This window comes from Homo sapiens, chromosome 1 (genome assembly GCF_000001405.40).
Source record: "Homo sapiens chromosome 1, GRCh38.p14 Primary Assembly".
NCBI classification, from domain to species: domain Eukaryota; kingdom Metazoa; phylum Chordata; class Mammalia; order Primates; family Hominidae; genus Homo; species Homo sapiens.
Window position 1 is genome coordinate 182441224 of NC_000001.11, and position 21009 is coordinate 182462232.

Here is a 21009-nt window from a genome sequence, read left to right on the forward strand (position 1 = left end):
AAGGGTTTGTGGGAGGAGAGGCAAGAGGGGGACCTCTAGCATAGTCTCTGAGAATGGCAGACGCCCAAGGATTATGCTGGACAATATGCTTATTTCATTGTTTGTCAACGGTTAGCTGATTACCAATGAACCAGAGCAGAAGACCAGACGGAAACCATGACACCCACCCAACCATAGGTTTGGGCCTCCTCCAAAACCATTTCCTTTCTGTATGTGGATTCAGTGGGCTGGATAGAGAATATAACTAAGCCTTAGGAGGCCCCCTCCACATTCTAGAGACTGAGGTGGCCCTGAGTGAATGGTCATTCCTGAGCCTTTTGCTTCTGCCTTTGATCAGACCTACTTTCAGTTCAATGGGAGGCTTCGAGGGTCATCTGTACCCAGGGCTGTCTTTCTTCTTCTATGGACTTTATCATGCACAACTTGTCTCCAGAGCCTTAATATGCAATGCCCCTGTCCAGTATCCACCACGCCATCCCTGGAGCAAAGGAAGATGGGCGAGGCTATGGCAAATATACTACAATGGGTTGCTGAAGATATTGAGTGCCTGCATTTTAGTAGCCCAAGAGTTGCACAGCATTCCTAGACAGTTTGTGCTTATCAGCAAGATGTATCATCAGAGAAACTTTATGTTCCGCAAACAGTGGCAGCATCTCACTCTCTATATGACTTTCTTGCTGAGTGGGTGTGTAGACATGGTGAGCCAGAACCTGCTGCCCAAGAGATGTGCTGCTCTGGAGCAAGGTGCCCAGGCTCTGGGCATGTTCATATTTCTGCCCCTGATGGTGTCTTACCTGCAGGACACAGAAGGAGTGGAGCTTCAGTCTCAAGTGCTGCTCACCCAGGCCATGTTCCTGCTGACTCTGGTGGTGACCGCAGAGCTGTGGGCTCCCAACATGCCACTGATCTGGATCACGAAGGCCTTTTTGTATATGATCACAGGCTCTTGGCTGATGCACATAGGCTTTATGCTGTTCAAACCAATCTCTGGCTATATCAGTGGATGGATGATGACAGAAATGACATTATGTTTGTCACCACCTTCTTCTGTTGGCATGTGATCTTCAGTGCCAATTTTGATGATCTGGATCTATGGCTTCTCCTTTTGGTGGTATTGCTACATTTTTGTTAAGGCCTGAACCTGGATGTGCCACAATTGGTTCTCTATTGCCTGCATACTCCAGGACATCTGGATGAGAAGTTGTGGGAGGTGGAGCTGCCAGAGAGGATAATCCTGCATCCTTCTTTCAGAGGTGTCTCATGCTGAGGCATCAGACTTCTCTGGGACAGGCATACCCTCCTTCCCCTTCTGGTTTCTCTCAGTCTCATTTCCTGAGCAGTGTGCAGAGGACAGGAGAATGAAACAAGGCATGCAACTATGGCCCTCACTCTTAGCTCCCCAAGTATTTCGCTCCCTTTCCCTCTCTCCTCAATTCCAGCAACAGTGATCTGTGTGCCCTGCATGTCTCTGCATCCCTCATTCTCCTTCCATGAGGACATTAAAATAAATTCATGATATCCTGCCTTTGGGCCTTTTTGTAAATATCCTTCACCCAGCACATAGAATTCCTACCGCTAGTCATATTTAGTACATGATAATCTACCCATTACAATAACCACCTCCTCATTCTTTCTTGTTCTGGACCTCTTCAATGCTCATATTGAAGAGACTGTTTTTGACTCTTCAGATCTCCTAGAATGTTCTTGAGGTCTTTCCTTTGATTACTTTGTGATTTATCAAATGAAACATGGGACCCTTGAAGGTAACTTCTTCTGCAGGATTTTTTGTTTGTTTGTTTGTTTGTTTTAGACAGGGTCTCACTCAATTGTCCAGTTGGAGTGCAGTGATGCAATCACCACTCACTGCAGCCTCAATCTCCTGGGCTCAAGCAATCGTCCTACCTCAGCCTCCCAAACTTGGGTCTGCAGGTGCAAGCCGTCACGCCATGCCCAGCTAATTTTTTATTTTTGTAGAGATGAGTTTTCCCTATGTTGCCCTGGCTGGTCTCGAACTCCTGGGCTCAAGTGATCTGCCTGCCTCTGCCTCCCAAAATGCTGGGATTACAGATGTGAGCCACCATGTCCAGCCCTCTGCAGGGTTTAATAGAACAAAGCAACACCCTGCATGTAGTGAGAGCTCAGAGGCTTGTCTGCTTCCAGACTTTCTTCAGCCCCGTCTCCCCAAGTGTAGAGTCTAGAAAATTCTTCTTCCAGGCCTTTCAGCCCATTGCTCTGTACATATCTGATTGATTTCCAAGCAATAAACTCATCCGGAACTACTCCTTTGTGGTTCTCATGTATAATAAAGTTCAATGGCTTGTTTATGCTCCATATTTTTCTTTTTAATCCTCACAAATGTCTTATCAGGGAGGTTTAGAGGTAAGTAATCTAAAACTCAAAAGGGTTAAGAAAGTGGCTTAAGGTAGCTAGATATTTAGCTATGTCACATAATGCTATAGCTGGGTGTCAAGGAGGGTAGAACGCCAAGTAGAGTCAAATTACTGGGGACTCTGGCAAAGAGTGCCTTCATGCCTCCCATTCTGCTGCTCCCCTGCTTTTTTTTTTTTCAAGACAGAGTCTCGCTCTGTCGCCAGGCTGGAGTGCACTGGCGTGGTCTCGGCTCACTGCAACCTCTGCCTCCTGGGTTCAAGCGATTCTCCTGCCTCAGTCTCCCAAGTAGCTGGGATTACAGGTACATGCCACCACGCCCGGCTAATTTTTGTATTTTTAGTAGAGATGGGGTTTCACAATGTTGGCCAGGCTGGTCTTGAACTCCTGACCTCATCATCCGCCCGCCTCGGCCTCCCAAAGTGCTGGGATTACAGGCGTGAGCCACCGCGCCTGGCCATTCCCCTGCTTTCTCCAGGACATGAAGAATCTGTCAAGCTTTCCTCACTCCTGACAAGACTAAAGCATCCAGTTAGGATAGAGGGCGGGATCAGGGACTCTAGAGGGTTATCAACTGTCTTGTTTCCTTTTTTTTTCTAGTTCCTAAAGCAAATGCATCCTTTGGTTCTGGCCCTACTCTTCCTTTTTAATTTTCTCAGTCAAAAGTGAAGGTACAGCAGGAATGAGTTGTTTGGTTGTCAGGGACCTTCACCCCCTAGTTTTGGGGGTTGGTGGGCATTCTGAGTTATTGTGGGGGTGGAGGGTGCTTCCCAATGTCATTGAGAGGTGGGGGCTCAGCCACGTCTCAGAATGTGGGATGGCATGCATGTGTTGGATGTTTGGCATGTGACCAGCAGGCAGCTTCCACAGAAAGCTGACACCTGCATTGTTGGAACGATCAGGCAACAACGCTGCTCCCCACTAGAGATGAACAGGGGTCCCTCGCATGGAAGTAAAATATGCCTCAGGTGCATTTCAGATTCTGTGCTTCTCTCTGGTCCTGGGGACCAGTGGGGCTCTGCAGCACCCCCTGTAGGTTCTGCCCTTTTCCTGGTTGTCACCTCTGGCTTCCAGCCCCTTGTTTCTCCCCAACAACCTTGGATATATTTGCCTTGGCCAAGCCTTGCAGCTCCTCCTTCCTCTAGCTTTGTTGAACCTCCTCTCGTACCCTTGAAGTTGAGGGGGCAGGGAATCTGCTCCCCTGTACATGCTTTCCCATTGATATGGTAAAGTTGTTTTCTACTTCACTCAGGCCTCCTCCTGATTTTTTTTTTTTTCTTTTTTTGAGACAGGGTTTTGCTCTATTACCCAGGCTGCAATGCAGTGGCACCATCTCAGCTCACTGTAGCCTCGAACTCCCTGGCTCAAGCAGTTCTCCCGCCTCAGCTCCCCCACAACCCACCCTCCAGAGCTGGGATTACAGGTGGCACCACCACACCCAGCTAATTTTTTTTCTGTTTGATTTTTGTAAAGACTGGGTCTTGTCATGTTGCCCAAGCTGGTCTCAAACTCCTGGGCTCAAGTGATCTTCCAGCCTTGGCCTCCCAAAGTGCTGTGAGCCACCACCCCTGGTGACACCTCCCCTTTTTGATATTAAGAGCATATTTTAGATTTTTTTAACCTAAAATTGACTTTTTGTTTTTTGCTATTATAATCTGACCTCATCTTGATGCAAGATCTTTGACTAATAGAGGAAAAGTCATCTGCAAGGGTTGGGAACCAAAACCCAAGTATTAGTATTTCAAGATATTATTTCTCCACAAAGATGAAAGTTAAAGAAATACCAAAACCATGTGTTAACCCTTAGAACCATTCCATTTTGAGTACTTTTGAAGTCTTGTTAAATAGTAATTTTCACTCGCGTCCGTGTGAAGAGACCACTAAACAGGCTTTGTGTGAGAAACAAGGCTGTTTATTTCACCTGGGTGCAGGCGGGCTGAGTCTGAAAAGAGAGTCAGTGAAGGGAGATAGGGGTGGGGCCGTTTTATAAGATTTGGGTAGGTAAAGGAAAATTACAGTCAAAGGGGGGTGTTCTCTGGCGGGCAGGGGTGGGGGTCACAAGGTGCTCAGTGGGGGAGTTTTGAGCCAGGATGAGCCAGAAAAGGGAATTTCACAAGGTAATGTCATCAGTTAAGGCAGGAACAGGCCATTTTCACTTCTTTTGTGGTGGAAAGTCATCAGTTAAGGCAGGAACCGGCCATCTGGATGTGTACGTGCAGGTCACAGGGGATATGATGGCTTAGCTTGGGCTCAGAAGCCTGACACTAATAAATTCATCTCTTGTAGTAAATGATTGCCTCCAAATATTATATCTCACAACTGTATCTTCCAGGTAAAATAATATTAACAGGCGCCTACAAAGCCACAGAGGATTATAGTTAAGGCCAGATACGATGGTGGAATAGGCAGACCTACTATTCGGATGACAAGGGCCTTTCTGTACTTCTCATGTCACAGCAGGTGTGAGCACTCTGACAGTGATCCTAATTACTTTGGAAAGTAAAACGAACTGAAGATTATGTTTGGGGAAAAACAGAAACAAAACCTTCAAATTACAGAGTGGAGTTTTGAAAAGAAAAGTGTAATGTTCAACACCGTGCACCAGAGGGCACCATATTTACATGAGCCTGGAAAGGGCACTTACTCTCCATTTGGTATTGAATGACCCATTTAAACGAAGTGACAGAGGGATAGAGAGAAGAGCAGGAAAAGTATATAAGCAAGTATTGTCCAAGCACCCAGTAAACATGATGTAGTTCTTCTTCCTGTTAAAGTTAGATGCATATGACTAAGCACAGAATCCAGTTAACATAGAGATATGTGTGTGTATCTCAAAAACCTTTTGGTCACTCACTCTCTGACCTTCTTTTTTATTTAGAGTGAAAATTTATTGTGTGAGTCTTGGAGGGACTGTCTCCCACTATGGATGCCAGAGGGGACCAGACAGTCTCTCTCCTGGCCCTGGCAGTAAGGACATGGATATCCTGTCCTGGACTCAGCAATCAGATCCTCCACCCAGAACTTTTATGTATATATATTTATATTTATAAATTTATATTTAATTATATATAATGCATATTCAATTTTAAAATTAAATATAGATATATACATTCACTTTTAAAATTTAAATATGATATGTACATTTAATTTTTAAAATTAAATATATGATATATATGTCATATACATTTAATTTTTAAAATTAAATATATATATGACATATACATTTAATTTTTAAAATTAAATATATGATATATATGACATATACATTTAATTTTTAAAATTAAATATATGATATATATGACATATACATTTAATTTTTAAAATTAAATATATGATATATACATTTAATTTTTAAAATTAAATATATGATATATACATTTATTTTTTAAATTAAATATGTGATATATACATTTAATCTTTAAAATTAAATATATGATATATACATTTAATCTTTAAAATTAAATATATGATATATACATTTAATCTTTAAAATTAAATATATGATATATACATTTAATCTTTAAAATTAAATATATGATATATACATTTAATCTTTAAAATTAAATATATGATATATACATTTAATCTTTAAAATTAAATATATGATATATACATTTAATCTTTAAAATTAAATATATGATATATAATTAAATATAGAATATATACACATTTAATTTTAAAAATCATTTTTTAATAGAGGTAGGGTCTTACTATGTTGCCCAGGCTGGTCTCAAACTCCTGGACTCAAGCGATCCACCTGCCACAGCCTCCCAAAATGCTGGGATTACAGGCATGAGTTACCATGACCAGCCCAAAACTTTTCATCTTGAAGGAAGACTCAGAAGCTCAGGAGCAATGAGAGGTTATGCATGGCAGTGCCTATGACAACAAACACTCAATAGCGGTGGTGCTAGCAGTAGTGGCACAATGGGGACAACCACAAATGCTGAAAAAGATGTGTTGTAGTTGAAATTGGTTCTTATTTCTACTGGAGGTCGTGTTAACCATCAAAAACAAAATAAGCGTAGTTATCATAATAGGCAGTTGAGCCTGTGTGGATATCTGAATGATCTAACCCACAGATTCTTTATAGTGGTTATTGATCATGGGGTCCTTAAAAAATGTGTGTTCATTCAATAAGATTCTACTGGAAAGTATAAGCTCTGTGATGGCAAGGATTTTAGACTGTTTATTCAGTGTTGCATCACAAACACCTAGAACAGTTTGTGTCACATAGACCTGCCCAATAAATATTTGTTGAGTGAATGAACAGGAGCCTAAAATGAGCCATCATGGTAGAAAATCAGGTCCCTCATCCAATTTTCAGCCCTGAGTCAGACCTAGAAGCTCTGAAATTTAAAAAAAAAAAAAAAAGCATTTTACCAGTTAGGAAGAATCTTGTAATATTTTGCAAGTATTTACGGTGAATATTCTTCTTAATCTTTGCCAAAGAGACCTGCTGTCATTTCCAGGGTAACTGTGCACTTGGGAAAAGGAGATGCCCAGAGTTTTGCAAACCAGATCAGATCTAGTAAATGTCAGATCTGAGATGTGAATGCAGCTCTATTTCATTTAGAAACCAATTTATTTGTTTGTTTGTTTGTTTGTTTGTTTGTTTGTTTGTTTTTGAGACAGAGTCTCATTCTGTTGCCCGGGCTGGGGTGGAATGGCACGATCTCAGCTCACTGCAAAATCTGCCTCCCAGATTCAAGCAATTCTTGTGCCTCAGACTTCTGAGTAGCTGGGATTACAGGTGCGCAACACCACATCTGGATAATTTTTTTGTATTTTTAGTAGAGAAGGGGTTTCCCCATGTTGGCCAGTCTGGTCTCTAACTCCTGTCCTCAAGTGATCCACCCACCTTGGCCTCCCAAAGTGCTGGGATTACAGACGTGAGCCACTGCATCTGGCCCCAATATTTTCTATATTTACCTGATGATAATAATTATCTGGGGGCACTTGGAAAATATACAGACTCCTGAGCCCCACCCCTTCTAAATCAGAATTGCCAGGGGACGGTCCCGGCAATTTAGGTTTTTAACAACAACCCTGTCAATAAGGTAATTCTTATTACCACACATTTGGGAGACATCTGGTGCCCTTTTCTTTTGGGAACTAGAAGGTCATGAAAGGGTCAGGGATCTAACCATTATGCATTTCAAGATTTAGCCAGTGATACTGGCTTTTCATCTTTACTGTTTTTAGAGTGACCCTATTTGGTTGTTAATGGCTCCAACAGTCAGCCTTTTTGAACTGTGGGAAAGACGGTGGGGCAGCAATTAGGACTCAAGGGTAGGTGCACACAGCTTGATTGAAAACAGTCTGAAAGCATTCCATCTTAAGGAATGTGAGCATATATTACTACTGTATATGCCATTATTTTAGGAGGAGACCTTGACTCTATTTATTTTGCAAAAGAGGTGATAATTCAAGGAATAATATGATATTGTAGAATCATGCAGTGCTTCACACTGAACTCTCTTAAGATGTGTGCATGTTAAACTGACTAATTAATAAGGTGAATAAGGTAATTGATAACAGATTGAAGAAGTATGGTAAGCTACAATCTCATCTTGCAATACATAGAACATCAAGATGTAAAGCAAGAATCTCTTCTCACTAAAATCACTTTAAAATGCAGTATTTGGTCTTTATATATTCTAAAGAAAGTACAGCACTTTTTCAAATGTAAGTGATATTGTATTGACGATTCATTATTAACAATAATCCTTCCAGTTTTCAGTTTTCCCTCCACCCCCCATAGGAAAGCCTTTTGGACATTATATAAGCTTCCCTACAATCCCAAGACTTAAAAGCCCTCTCTGGGTGTGACACTGAAGAATTCTATTCTCAGTAATTCTTGGCTAAAGTTTGAAGGATTATAGGGCTTTTGGTCTCTCATCTTAATATTTACTTCCTATTAGGGAAGAACAGGAGAAATGAAGAGTTGTTTAATGAGAAAACCAAGAGCCTGAAGAGTCTTCAGAGGAAGGGAGTTCAAACCTCTTGGAAGCTGATGTTTTAATTTTAATTTTTTAAAGATGAGGTTTCACTCTGTTGCCCAAGCTGAAGTTCAGTGGTGTGATCACAGCTCACAGCAGCCTTGAATTCCTGGGCTGAAGCAATGGAGGTTGATGTTTTAAATGGGCAGAATATCCAGGAGTTACTGCTTATTAAAATTACATCAAATGTAACCGTTTACAAGACCCTTAGGAGCTGAGTTTAGCAATGCAAAAGTCACCCTAGCATGGGAGAGGTTGGAGCAGACAAGAGATCTTGGGCACAATTATAAAGAACTTGTCAAATAAAATAGTATGAACTAAAGGCTTAAGTATAGGAGGAGTCTTGTATGTCCAAGGGGATTCAGCAGATTAGGTAAGATAAAGACTTATCTTCAGATTAAGGCCTACACCAGAGGTAAGTAGATCACTGCCAGATAGAATCTGGAACCCCTTAGAGAAGGTGTCATTACGTGTTCACAATGGATATAGTTCTATTGACTGGGGGGTAATTCTGCCCCTAACAAATTACTGTGTCAGGAAGAGCATGGCAACATGAGCAGTGCTGGTGAGTCTCTGCCAGGGATGTCTCCAAGGCCTTGAGTCTCTCAAATAAGGCAAACCATTCATCTTCCCAATTGTTAATAGATCTGAGCCATTCAGGGGCACCATGGGTGACTTTTGTGTTATTCATGCCTTTGTTTTCCTTCTCTTTCTCCTTCTTCCCCTTCCTCCTACCTTCTGCCACCAGATCTTTGAGGATAGTACAGGGCCTTATTCATAAGACAACTAAGGCAAGAGGGAGGAAGTAAAATGTGGATTGGGCCACCTCTCCTCCAGAGAGAAGACTGGTATGGGGTTTGAGATTATGCAGTGATTTCATTTGTTGCCAAGTCAATATTATTATGGCGTGGAATGGGTGCTAAAAGCCTTCTCAAATTATTAGGAAGTTTGAAGGCAGAACAGGTAAGAAGGAAAAACAAGAATGGAGAAATGAGAGGATGAGGAAGGGAAGGATGTACAGAGCCTTGTCTCTATATCTCCTTAAGACTGTTTTGGCAATGGCAAGCCCTAGCATAGTCAGGCCCCTTGCCACCAGCGGTGTGTGTAGCTGTGAACAACAATCACTAGGGAATTTCTGCCAAACCCCACTTTTCTGTATTCAGATGGGCTCAGTAATATACTCATTCAACAAATCCATGTTAGACTCTATGAATGATAAACAAACAAAAGTCCAAAAGATTGAAAATCATTGGCTGGGAGCGTTGGCTCACCCTTGTAATCCTAGTACTTTGGGAGGCTGAGGCAGGTGGATTACCTGAGGTCAGGAGTTCAAGACCAGCCTGGCCAACATGGTAAAACCCCATCTCTACTGAAAATACAGAAATTAGCCAGGTGTGGTGGCATGCACTGTAATCCCAGCTACTGGAGAGGTTGAGACACAAGAATCACTTGAATCTGGGAGGCAGAGTCTGCAGTGAGTTGAGATCTTGCCACTGCATTCCAGCCTGGGTGACGGAGTGAGACTTTGGCAAAAAAAAAAAAAAAAAAAGATTGAAGATTATCTTTTGAAAGAACAATTTATTCCACATTTACAGAACTTAGACATTGTGCAAACACTTTTAGAGCCTAGAGGAAGAAAGGTGAAAAAACAAAGTCCCTCCTCTCACACGCTCAGTCTGATGAGGAAGACAGATATATCGATGGATAAAAACAGTCAGACTTGTTAATTGTAATAATGGAGGATATACGTGATGGTATAGGGAGATAGTGATGAATTCTACCATTGCAGTAGATTCTACCTTTCTTGGCTCACCAAGATTATATGTAAACCAGTTCTTAATGGATGACTATTAATTTGTGAGCTGACTGTGCTTAAGAAAACATTTGAAGCAATGGGAATATGGGAACAAAGACATGGAGGTTTCAAGTGAGAGTACCTAGCACATGCAGGAAACAGCAATGCCTTGGCTTAGCTTGCAAACAGGAGGCAGAGTGCGCAGAGAGGCAGGAAATGAGACTGGGAGGAAACTCAAAAGCCAGATGGGGTAAAGCCTCAGATACTATACTAGAGAGTTTGGACTTTACCTTCTAGGACATCAAGGAGATTTTGAAAGACTTTAACAATAATAATATCAACAGATTATGGTGGCAGTACGTGTAGGGTGGTTGGAAGGGCAAGAGGTGGGAGCTAGGGAGACCATTTAAGAAGCTGATGCAGAAGTCTAGGTGAGAGAGCATAGAGGCCTGTAATGGAAGAGTAACTTTATGGATGGAAAGGAGAAGACAGATTCCAGAGATAGGTACAAAGAGAAACCATACAGCATGATCCCCCATTGCATGTAGGGACATGGAGGGGAGAGAGAGAGAACAAGAGAGTAAGAGCAAGAGTAAGAGAGATTGAGAGTGAGAGTGAGAGTGAGAGACAGGGACAGAGACAGAGAGAAGAGCCTCAGTTTTCAGGATTAGATAATTTATTGAATGATAATTCCAGTAACTGGGACTGGGAATGTAGGAAAAGGAGCAGGTTGGGAGGCCTGGACACATTGAACATGTTGAGATGAAAGTGCCTGATGGATATGCATGTAGAGCTGGCCCATAGCTCATGTATATTTAAAACCAGAGTGAAGGAGAGAAGCCTGGACTGAAAACACAGATTTTGGAATCACCCATATGGAATAGATTAAATAAATCAAGGACTGCTTATAAAAAGAAGAGCAGAGGGCTTGGGAGGGGTACACATAAAACACACATAGCACTTGACAGCAAGAAAAAAGATGTATGTGAACAGAGGGCAAGTGCTGATACCAGCTCTGTCACTCACAATAGTGTTTATCTGGGTTTCCTTTTTTTTTTTTTTGAGACAGAGTCTCACTCTGTCACTCAGGCTGGAGTGCAGTGGTGCGATCTCGGCTCACTGCAACCTCCACCTCCTGGCTTCAAGCGATTCTCCTGCCTCAGCCTCCCAAGTAGTTGGGATTACAGGCTCCCGCCACTATGCCTGGCTAATTTTTGTATTTTTAGTAGAGACAGGGTTTCATCATGTTGGTCAGCCTGGTCTTGAGCTCCTGGCCTCAAGCAATCCACCAGCCTCAGCCTCCCAAAGTGTTGGGATTATAGGCATGAGCCACCATGCCTGGCCAGGAGTTTCTAATTCTATTTCTAATATATGAAGCCAACAACCACCAGTGTCATCAGGAAAAATGATTGTTTAGTTTTCTTATATCATAACTACATGTTTGTGACTGTGCATGGCACTTACTGTCCTCATCAGATGCTTAGGTTGAGAGATGAGCTTAGGGCATAGTATTCGGACCCATTTTTCAGTCTTTCATTATGAACTTTGGGTATGACTGAGTGATGGTGGGCCATTGATAAAACAATTAGTTTATTATTCACTAGCTGAATATTGTGCTCTAAGGAGCATAGACAGTAAATTAGAGGAAACTCTTATTTACTAGAGGAGTTAGTTGCTTCATTCACCTGGGGTCTCCGTGTTTGGCTTTATGACATTATCTTCTTGAATTAACTTGGGCAGCACGATGATCACACCTGAGAGAAGTAATAAGTATGTTGCATGATCAAATTAATATTCAAGAAAGCTCTTGTCAGGCAGTAATGTTAGACCAAACCTACCAAGTTGAAATTTGACTGGAATAAATGTACATTCCTGCCCTTGGTTTCTGAAATGTGACCTCATAAGTAAAAGCATAATGGAGTTAATAGTGTAATATGAGAGCCCCCAAAGCTAACCCCACTTCAGGCCCCATTACACTAACATCAGATGCAACCTAGGCAAGGGTTCTCTTATGTTCTGCTCTGGGAAGCATTTGAAGTATTTCAGTTGTGAGTACCACTCCAGCCAATGAGAGAACCAGATGGAGAGAAGGCCATGTGAGGAATGGGTTGAAGAATTGCCTGGTGACTAGCCAGTGGGGTTGGAGGTAAGCAGACGTCTGTGATGTCTTTATAAATACTGGAAGCACTGTCCCTTTTAAGGGGACTTAAGTGAATTCTGTCAAGCTTCAGAGGGCGTGATTTTTACATACATAAGATAAAGGAAGACAGTCACAGTAGGAAAAAAGAAATCTACCACTTCGCCTTCTTCATAAACGGAATGGGCATACCTGAGTCAGTGAGCTCCCCACAGCTGGGAGTGTTTAAGCAGAACGATATTGAAAAAGAGAGTCCTGGAGAAGGACATGCAAATTGAATTGCATGACCCTAGAGGCTGTCATCATGCTGAGATTTGGCAACGTGAAATGATCCATTCGATTGCTTCATTTTCTGAACCTGAATGCAATTCTGGTTCATGTTTTGTTTTTTTATTTCTCTCTCTCCATATAGAGATAATTGGTTCTACAAATCTTATAATTCTGCTAGAGGATGAAGTCTTTGCCGATTTTTTCAACACATTTCTTTCCCTCCCGGTAAGCATTCTCAGATTTAAATACAAATATTTCATCAGCAGCTGAATAGTGAATCTCACAGAGCTGAGTGACTTTTTTTGTTTGTTTGTTGTTATTTGGGGTTTTACTAAATGTCTTCTTAAATAAAAAAACTCTTTTAATTTGAGCAAATAAACATGAACCAGAACCACCTGTAAAATCTCCAAAAGCTTCCCATTGTTGATGTCATCAGATCCTAAATCCCCAGCCTCCTTACTTGCCTTTACCTGTCCAAAGTTACTTCTCATCATACCCTCTGCTGATCCCCAGTGCTCTGTTGACAGAGGTCTACCCTCACTGGGTACCCCTGGCATTCCCCCACCTCTGAACCTCTCCTTGGGCTGTGTCTGTTTTCTGCCAGGAATACCTTTCCCATAGTTCCACCTACGAAAATCTTAAATACTCTTCAAATCTCTGCTTAAATTCCATTCTCCTTAAGGAATTCCTAGGTCCTCAGCATTGGAACCTCCTGATGGGAACTTCTCTGCTTCTGAGCCCCTTGGCACTTTGCAACTCTCTTGAGTTGTATGTGTGTGTGTGTGTGTGTGTGTGTGTGTGTGTGTGTGTGGCCCCCAGTAGATTATGAGACAGTGAATTTCTGCAGGACAAGGACTGAGGATTATTTATTCTGCTCTACTCCCTTTACCAGGTGTTTAGTGCATAGAAATTGTTGTTGACTGGAACAAACCTATCTATTTCCTTAATCTATGCAACTAAAACAAACCTCAAACATCAAAGTATTCTTAAACTCAAACCTGGACTTATCCTGAATCTTTTTTGGTTTAAATCCTTGGTGACATTTTAACACTGGTGCCTTATGAATTGTGACTCATCTTGATGCACCCTTTCCCATAAGATGGTATATACTAAAAGGCGAAATTTCAGTCAAGTGGGAGAAGCACCCTCTCTATCCCACACATGGTTATTGGGTGGTTACTTTGTGCCAGCCCCTGGGCTGGGCTTAGTATTGGGGATGCACATATTAATGACACCATCCCTGCATTCCTGTCCTCATGGAATTCCCAGTCTAGTGTGAGAGATATTTATTGAAGGTCTGGGTGACATGACAGAAGTTTTTAGGAGGCAGTGGGAGTACAGTACTCATGAGACAGAGAGATCATCCCTACCTGGAAAAGTCAGGAAAAGCTGACACAAGACAAATATTAAAAGACAAGGAGGTACTTGACAGGTAACTGGAAGCAGAAGGTGAGGAGGAAAGGGTGCATAAAGAAATAGGAGGAGGCGGGGCACGGTGGCTCATGCCTGTAACCCCAGCAATTTGGGAGGCCAAGGTGGGGGGATCACCTGAATTTGGGAGTTTGAGACCAGCCTGGCCAACATGGTGAAATCCTGTCTCTACTAAAAATACAAAAATTAGCCGGGCGTGGTGGCGGGAGCCTGTAGTGCCAGCTACTCAGGAGGCTGAGGCACGAGAATCACTTGAGCCCAGGAGGCGGAGGTTGCAGTGAGCCGAGATTGCACCACTGCACTCCAGCCTAAGTGACAGAGCGAGACTCCACCTCAAAAAGAAAGAAAAAAAAAAAGAATAAAAATAGGAGGAAAAGACTAGGGAGTGAATAGCAAGAAAAACAAAAGCATTATAGACAGAACAGAGAAAGTAAAGGCACCAAAGAACACAATCCTTTGACACTTTGGGGCAAATTGTAAGTAACTCAGGAAGGCTGAAGAACAGTTGTAAGGGTGAGATGCCACAAGAGATAAGCTGCACAGGCAGGCTGCGCCAAGCCCTGGAGATCAGGCAAACTATGCCTAGGAGTTTGGACATTACCCCAAGGTGTTAGAGAGCCATCGAAGGATTTGAAGTAAAGGAGTAACATGTTCAGACTTTCATCCGAGAAAACTACTCTGCAGAGGTCTGGCCAATGGGTGGGCAGGAGACCTTAATGGAGGAAGGGAAAGCGGTTAGGAGGTTGTTTCAATCATCTAGGTGGGAAGTAATGAGGGTCTAAAGGGAAAGGGGAGAGGAGGATGGGATAAGTAGAGGAGATTGTTAACAAAACAAAATATAGGACCATGTCACTGTTTAAGTGTTGGGCAAGGTGGTAACAGGAAGAAAGGAAGCAAGGGTAACAGGCTTGGGTGCTTGGATGGATGGTGGTGTCAGGCAACAGGATTAAAATGAGGATAAGGAAAAGGCCTCTCGGGGAGTGGGTCTTTTATGTGTTTCTCACTCTTACTATTGTCTCTGCCACTGTCTTAATGAAGGTTTCAGAAGTAATCTTTTTTTTTTTTTTTGAGACAGATTTTGCTCTTGTTGCCTAGGCTGGAGTGCAGTGGCACAATCTCATCTCACTGCAACCTCCACCTTCTGGGTTCAAGTGATTCTCCCGCCTCAGCCTCCCAAGTAGCTGGGACTACAGGCGTGCACCACCACGCCCAGCTAATCTTTTGTATTTTTAGTAGAGACGGAGTTTCTCCATGTTGGTCAGGCTGATCTCAAACTCCAGACCTCAGATGATCCGCCTGCCTCGGCCTCCCAAAGTGCTGGGATTACAGGCGTAAGCCTCCACGCCTGGCCGAGAAGTAATCTTAAGACCCGTTAATCAGTCAATTCACCAACACAATTAAAACAATTCACAATAATGTTCTAGAAACAGAGAGTGATTGGGGAGGGGAGTTCCAGCCAAGAGTATAAGAAAGTCCTAGCCACTTAGGCAGCTGTGGCCTATAAAGAGAGACAGCAGTAGTAGTTCATGTTGAATACTCCTTAAGTTTACAAATTTCTACCACTTAATTCCCATAGTCACCGTGTGAAGTAGGAAGTATTTTCCCTTTTTACCAACGGATCTCAGAAGTTAAATGATTTGCTGTAATCCCAGCACTTTGGGAGGGCGAGGCAGGCAGATCACTTGAGGTCAAGAGTTCAAGACCATCCTGGCCAACATGATGAAACCCCATCTCTACTGAAAATATAAAAATTAGCTAGGTATGGTGGCGCATGCCTGTAATCCCGGCTACTAGGGAGGCTGAGGTAGGAGAATCACTTGAACACAGGAGGCGGAGGTTGCAGTGAGCCGAGATCATTCCACTGCACTCCAGCCCAGGTGACAGAGCCAGACTCCATCTCAAAAACAAACAAACAAACAAAAAAGTTAAATGATATGCCTAAGATCACACAGTGAATCTAGGGCGGTTCTAGGAGCTGACCAGGTCTGCTGGCTCCAGGCCTGATGTGTTTTCCACATTAGCCTGTGCCCTCTATGGTATAAATGTCGGGTAGTGAAACTGCTTCCAAACCCCACTCCCACATAATCTCATAACTTCACAGTCCTACTGCCACTCCTTAAAGGTAGCTTAACACCCCACTCAGTGTGTGTTGTGTTACACACTGAGTGCAGAGCAGAGAGAGATCCCTAAGGACTGAGTCTCCTTTACAGACTTACAATTGTAACATGCAGACAGCAACATCACCTTCCTTCAGCACCTCACAGCCAGTGACAAGGGACAAATGGGATTGAGGGAAGAGGGCCATAGACTAACAAAAGTGTGAGGCTGTTCATCTAGGGGAGATGGTCAGACTGACATGATGTGCTGAGAGTTCAGCCAGTAATTGGAGCTTCAGCCCGTCTAGTTTTCTGCAAATACTTCTGGGACACTTTGAAGACATTTTGTTGCCCATGATGAGACTGCTTAAGTTTACATACCTGTAAACATAGAAGTCCTTTCCCATCCATTTCAAAGGGGGTTGCCTAGGTGACAGTCTCTTTTCCATGACAAAAGGGGATGGTATCCTAGAATTACATTATCAATTTTGGACACTCTCAATGCCTCCCTGTGTAATTTGTATCCCCAGTCTCCACATCTTTAGTCCTCTCTATCTTCTCCAGTTTAGGTAAACCCAAAGCTATTTTTCACTGGGAAAACATTTTAGACATTTGCTAAGTCCAGGGAGAAAAGTGAATACTGAGTACACAAAGTAAATATGTTCTAATATCATGGGCCTTGGCCTTTGCACACAAGCAAATAGCTCTCAGGTCGGCTCAGGCTCCACAGGAAAGATAGCTCCCAGGTTGGGGCGTGGTGGAGCCAAAAGATGAGTGAATCGTGCAATTCAGTCTGTTTAGAGCTTGTTTGCATGTGTGCAGGGCAAGTTGATGGAGTAGAATAAATTTAAGAATTAGTGTCCCTTGAAATAAAAGAGCCATGGAACCTCCCTTCCTCTGTGGCTGTAGAGGGACTGTGTCATATACATGAAGAGAAGCTCTACTCCCTTGACTGTTTCCTAGCTTTGTTTTGCAGGTTTTTGGTCAGACACCATTTTATACTGTTGAAAATTCACAGTGGAGCTTGTGGCCAGAAATACCTTGTAACTTGGTGAGTAAAATTCTTCAGAGGTAGAGAGTTTAGGGTGGAGAATGAGGGAACTATAATTGTTTTTTGTTGTTAATTTGTTTTTGTTTTTGTTTTGGAGATGGGGTCTCATTCTGTCACCCAGGCTGCAGTGCGGTGATGCGATCTTAGCTCACTGCAACCTTTGCCTCCCTGGCTCAAGCAATCCTCCCACCTAAGCCTCCCAAATAGCTGGGACCACACAGGCACATGCCACTGTGCCTGGCTAATTTTTTGTATTTTTGGTAGAGACGGAGTTTCACCATGTTGCCCAGGCTGGTCTTGAGCTACTGAGCTCTAGCAATTCACCCGCCTCGGCCTCCCAAATTGCTGGGATTACAGGCCTGAGCCACCGTGCCTGGCCTGAGGGAACTACTTGAAATGTGAATTGGGAGAGGGAGAAAAAGAGGAGGTCCAGAGGGTAACTATAGGAGAAACTGTAAAGCAGGTGAGTAGAACAGACAGCATCAATCCAGGTCTACATTTCTCCTTTTTACATTTTTTACCTCTTATCCAAGCAATTGCTGGTGAATTATTTCCATTATATTCTAGCCCATAGTTAGCAAATGGGATTCTCACATCTACCGTGATAGGTTAGACACTTGGGAAACTGTCCTGAGAAGAACTTTAAGGGCACTTCTAAGCAAGAAAGAGTCTGGGAATTGACTGGCAATGTCTGCAATGGGTGTGGGATGGGAAGTGGCAGCCCATGGGCCACATAATTATTGTCAGTATGCATTATCAGATATACATCAAGATAAGATGCTTCTCTGCAATTTCTAGTGACTACTCCACTATTCTCCAGAGGCATGTTTTTCTCCCAATTTTTTTCTTTATGCCCTTTTTCTTTTTTCTTATTTTTCCCCTTGTCCCCACTCCTGTTTTCCTTTTCCACTATGTAGACCTTAGACTTACCAATGGCTTCCACATCCCCTACAAGGGGGCATGTAGAATCAGACAGACCACTCTAAACCCTGATAACAACAAGGTTTCGCTTTCCCTGAGTTCTGGAGAGTTGAGAAGAGACATTCTATTCTGAAGCTTATGTTTGATTTCCCAAGGATAACCCTGAAAGCTGAAAAAAATTACCTCCTTTCTCTGTGGCTTGATCCTTCAGAATATATCCTGTATTCTAAATGATGCTATGTGTGAATTTTGTTTTTGTACATATAGTGCAATTGATAGGGGTTAGGAGCTTGTTAGAAATTATGAGTGTGTTTACAAAGAAGCAAGTTGAATAGAGTTATGATCTGACACCACAGACCCAAATCTTTTCTGCTTTTCTTCTGTCAAGCGAGACTTAGATTTTTTCTTTAACAACTTCACTCAGGGATAAGAAAGAATTTTTTCATGAAAGATCAAGCTTTTTATTTTCTACAGATCCATTTACTTCTTTGCAAGTCTCTGCTCCTCTTTGATACTTCTTTTTCTTAAGTCCAGGTTCCAGGTTTATAGAAATTGTTTTTAATCAACACACCTATCCTTCTGGCCAGACACTGCAAGTGTGAGGTGATTAGTTGCCACTTACTAAGTTGTATTTTTTTAGCAGTTCGGTTTCACTTAGCATTTTTGTTTCTATTTTGCTTTGACTCTAGATTGCCAAATACAAAGGGTTATTGACCTGGTTGGAAAAATGCCGATTACCTTTCTTCTGTAAAACAAACTTGTGTTTCCATTACATTCTCTGTCAGGAGTTCATCAGTTTCATTAAGTCCCCAGAAGGAGGTAAGCATTGGTGTGCATGCGTGTGTCTGTGTGTGTGTGTGTGTGTGTGTGTAGAAATATAGGAAGTCACACTTCATAATAATCTTATGCCTGTATGTGTGTGTGTGTGTGTGTAGAAATATAGGAAGTCACACTTCATAATGATCTTATGCCTGTCAGTACTATAGTAAGGTACAAATACTGGCTGAATTTATAGATATGTGCATATCCCAGCCCATGTTTTGGCAATAGGTAAACTCTTAGCCTGAAATATTGGTATCAAGAGAAATATGCAGGAATCTGATGGACTGGGCTGTTTATCTCACTGTAGCCAGAAATGAGAAAATTAATGGTGGCCGCAGAACATAGTAAAATTGCCTAATTTAGAACCAACAGATTTCACCACCTTCATTACTACCAACTGGTTTAAGCCTCCAGAATTTCTTACCTAGTTAATGAAATCATCTCTTAATTTGTCTCTTTGCTTTTGCTCTTGCTCTCTTCCTCATAGAAGCCAGAGTGAGCCTCTTAAAAAGTAATTGGTGGTGGTGCTGGAGGGACTCCCAGGAAGATGATGAAATAGGAAGCACTAGGAATCTGTTTCCTCATCTAGACAACAATTGTACTGGCAGAATCTGTATGATGTAAATATTTTGAAACTCTAGAGTCTATTGAAACTTGCAATGTTTGGGGGGAAACTTTAGACAGTAAATTGTAGTTGATCTCATTCAATTTCAGCTCTTTGCACAGTGGCAGCTACTTACCCTCAACCCCAGCCCCATGGCACACAGTTGTGCACATGTTCCTGGGGCAGCTTACAGGAGCCAGGGTGGGCAAAAAGAATCTTGTCTTCCAAATATTAAGGATCTGTGCTCCGATTGCTACTTCTGATCACAGAAGTACAGGCAAAGACGTGGGCACACATTGTTATACTTTCCCTTTGTTGTAAGCCCCTCTCCCTCTAGCTGAAGTGATTTTTAGGGGATTTACAGAGCTGACATCTTCCCCCTTCTTCATTTTTCTCTTTTTTTTTTCTTTTTGGGAGGCAGATCTTAAGGATTAGGGCATTCAAAAACAACTGCATATATGGAGAAAATTAGAAAGTAACTGCCTATGCTTAAAGAAAGTTGCAGGCTCAGAAAAGATATAGGGAGATAAATTTATGCCTCAGGCCAATTCTTGGCACAGAGATATCCTACAGTAATAATAATAATAATAATAACAACTAACAAAATTAACAACAAAAACCCCCCCAGCAAACTCTGTGAAAAGGAGGGAATCTGATTTCCAGAGTTAACACATCATTAGGTTCAAATATTCAGTTTTTAACAAAAAAAAATCAGAAGGCACACAAAGAGGAAAGTATGGTCAATTTAAAGAAAATAAAGATAAACCTAAAGAAGCTGTCCTTGAGAGAGCTCTGATGGCAGATCTACTAGATAAAGACTTTAAAACAACTGCCTTAAATATGGTCAAAGAACTAAAGGAAGATGTAGAGAAAGTCAAGAAAGTGATAAATGAACAAAATGGAAATATTAATACAGAGAAAAACCTTAAAAAAACAAAAGTAATTCTGTAGCTGAAAAGCACAACTAAAATGAAAATTCTACTAGAAAGATTTAAAGGCAGATTAGAGCAGGCAAAAGAAAGAATCAGTAAACCAGAAGATAGGACAGTAGAAACTATTAAATCTGAGGGACAGAAAGAAAAAAGTTTAAAGAAAACTGAACAGAGACCCTTGATGGGACTTGTGGGGCACCATCAGGCAGGCCAACACACACATACATTATGGAAGTCTAGAAAAAGAGTAGAGAAAGAAAGGTGCAAAGAGAATATTTGAATATATAATGGCTAAAAACCTCTCAAACTTGATGGAAGACATGAATATAGACCTCAAAGAGCCCAATGAACTCCAAGTAAGATGAACTCAAAGAGATCCACACCAAGACATATTATACTCTTGAATGCCAAAGACAGAGAGAGAATGTTGAAAACAGTAAGAGAGAGAAATTATTCATCACTTTACAAAGGATATTCATAAGATTATAAGCAGATTTCTCATCAGAAACTGTGGAGTCCAGCAGGCAGTAGGTTGATATATTCAAAGTTCTAAAAGAAAA

At 41.9% G+C, this 21009-nt stretch overlaps 1 protein-coding gene and 1 pseudogene across 13 annotated transcripts in view, besides 1 other annotated feature; both read left to right on the forward strand.

Moving 5' to 3' along the window:
• Window positions 474–1228, forward strand: TEDDM2P (transmembrane epididymal protein 2, pseudogene; annotated as a pseudogene).
• The window catches only part of RGSL1 (regulator of G protein signaling like 1), a 112721-nt gene continuing 98365 nt past the window's right edge, over window positions 6654–21009 (forward strand). For 6 of the 13 annotated variants that reach the window (XM_017001188.2, NM_001366934.1, NM_001137669.2 and 3 more), the window contains exons 1-4: window positions 8923–8955; window positions 12735–12817; window positions 17096–17170; window positions 18781–18910. In XM_017001188.2, the coding sequence (XP_016856677.1) occupies window positions 8943–8955; window positions 12735–12817; window positions 17096–17170; window positions 18781–18910 (301 nt within the window). In that variant the 5' untranslated portion in view covers window positions 8923–8942. Of the gene's footprint in view, window positions 6812–7099; window positions 7142–7974; window positions 8077–8922; window positions 8956–11494; window positions 12332–12734; window positions 12818–17082; window positions 17171–18780; window positions 18911–19400; window positions 19534–21009 lie in introns of those variants that run through there. The other 7 variants (XM_017001193.3, XM_017001191.1, XM_017001192.3 and 4 more) reach the window with 7 other exon arrangements.
• Window positions 8761–9368: an enhancer, noted in NCBI's record as "OCT4-NANOG hESC enhancer chr1:182419119-182419726 (GRCh37/hg19 assembly coordinates)". NCBI's record gives its function as "activates a minimal SCP1, AML or CMV promoter by ChIP-STARR-seq in naive H9 embryonic stem cells {active_cell/tissue: H9 hESC(naive)}" and the evidence as "EXISTENCE:reporter gene assay evidence [ECO:0000049][PMID:30033119]".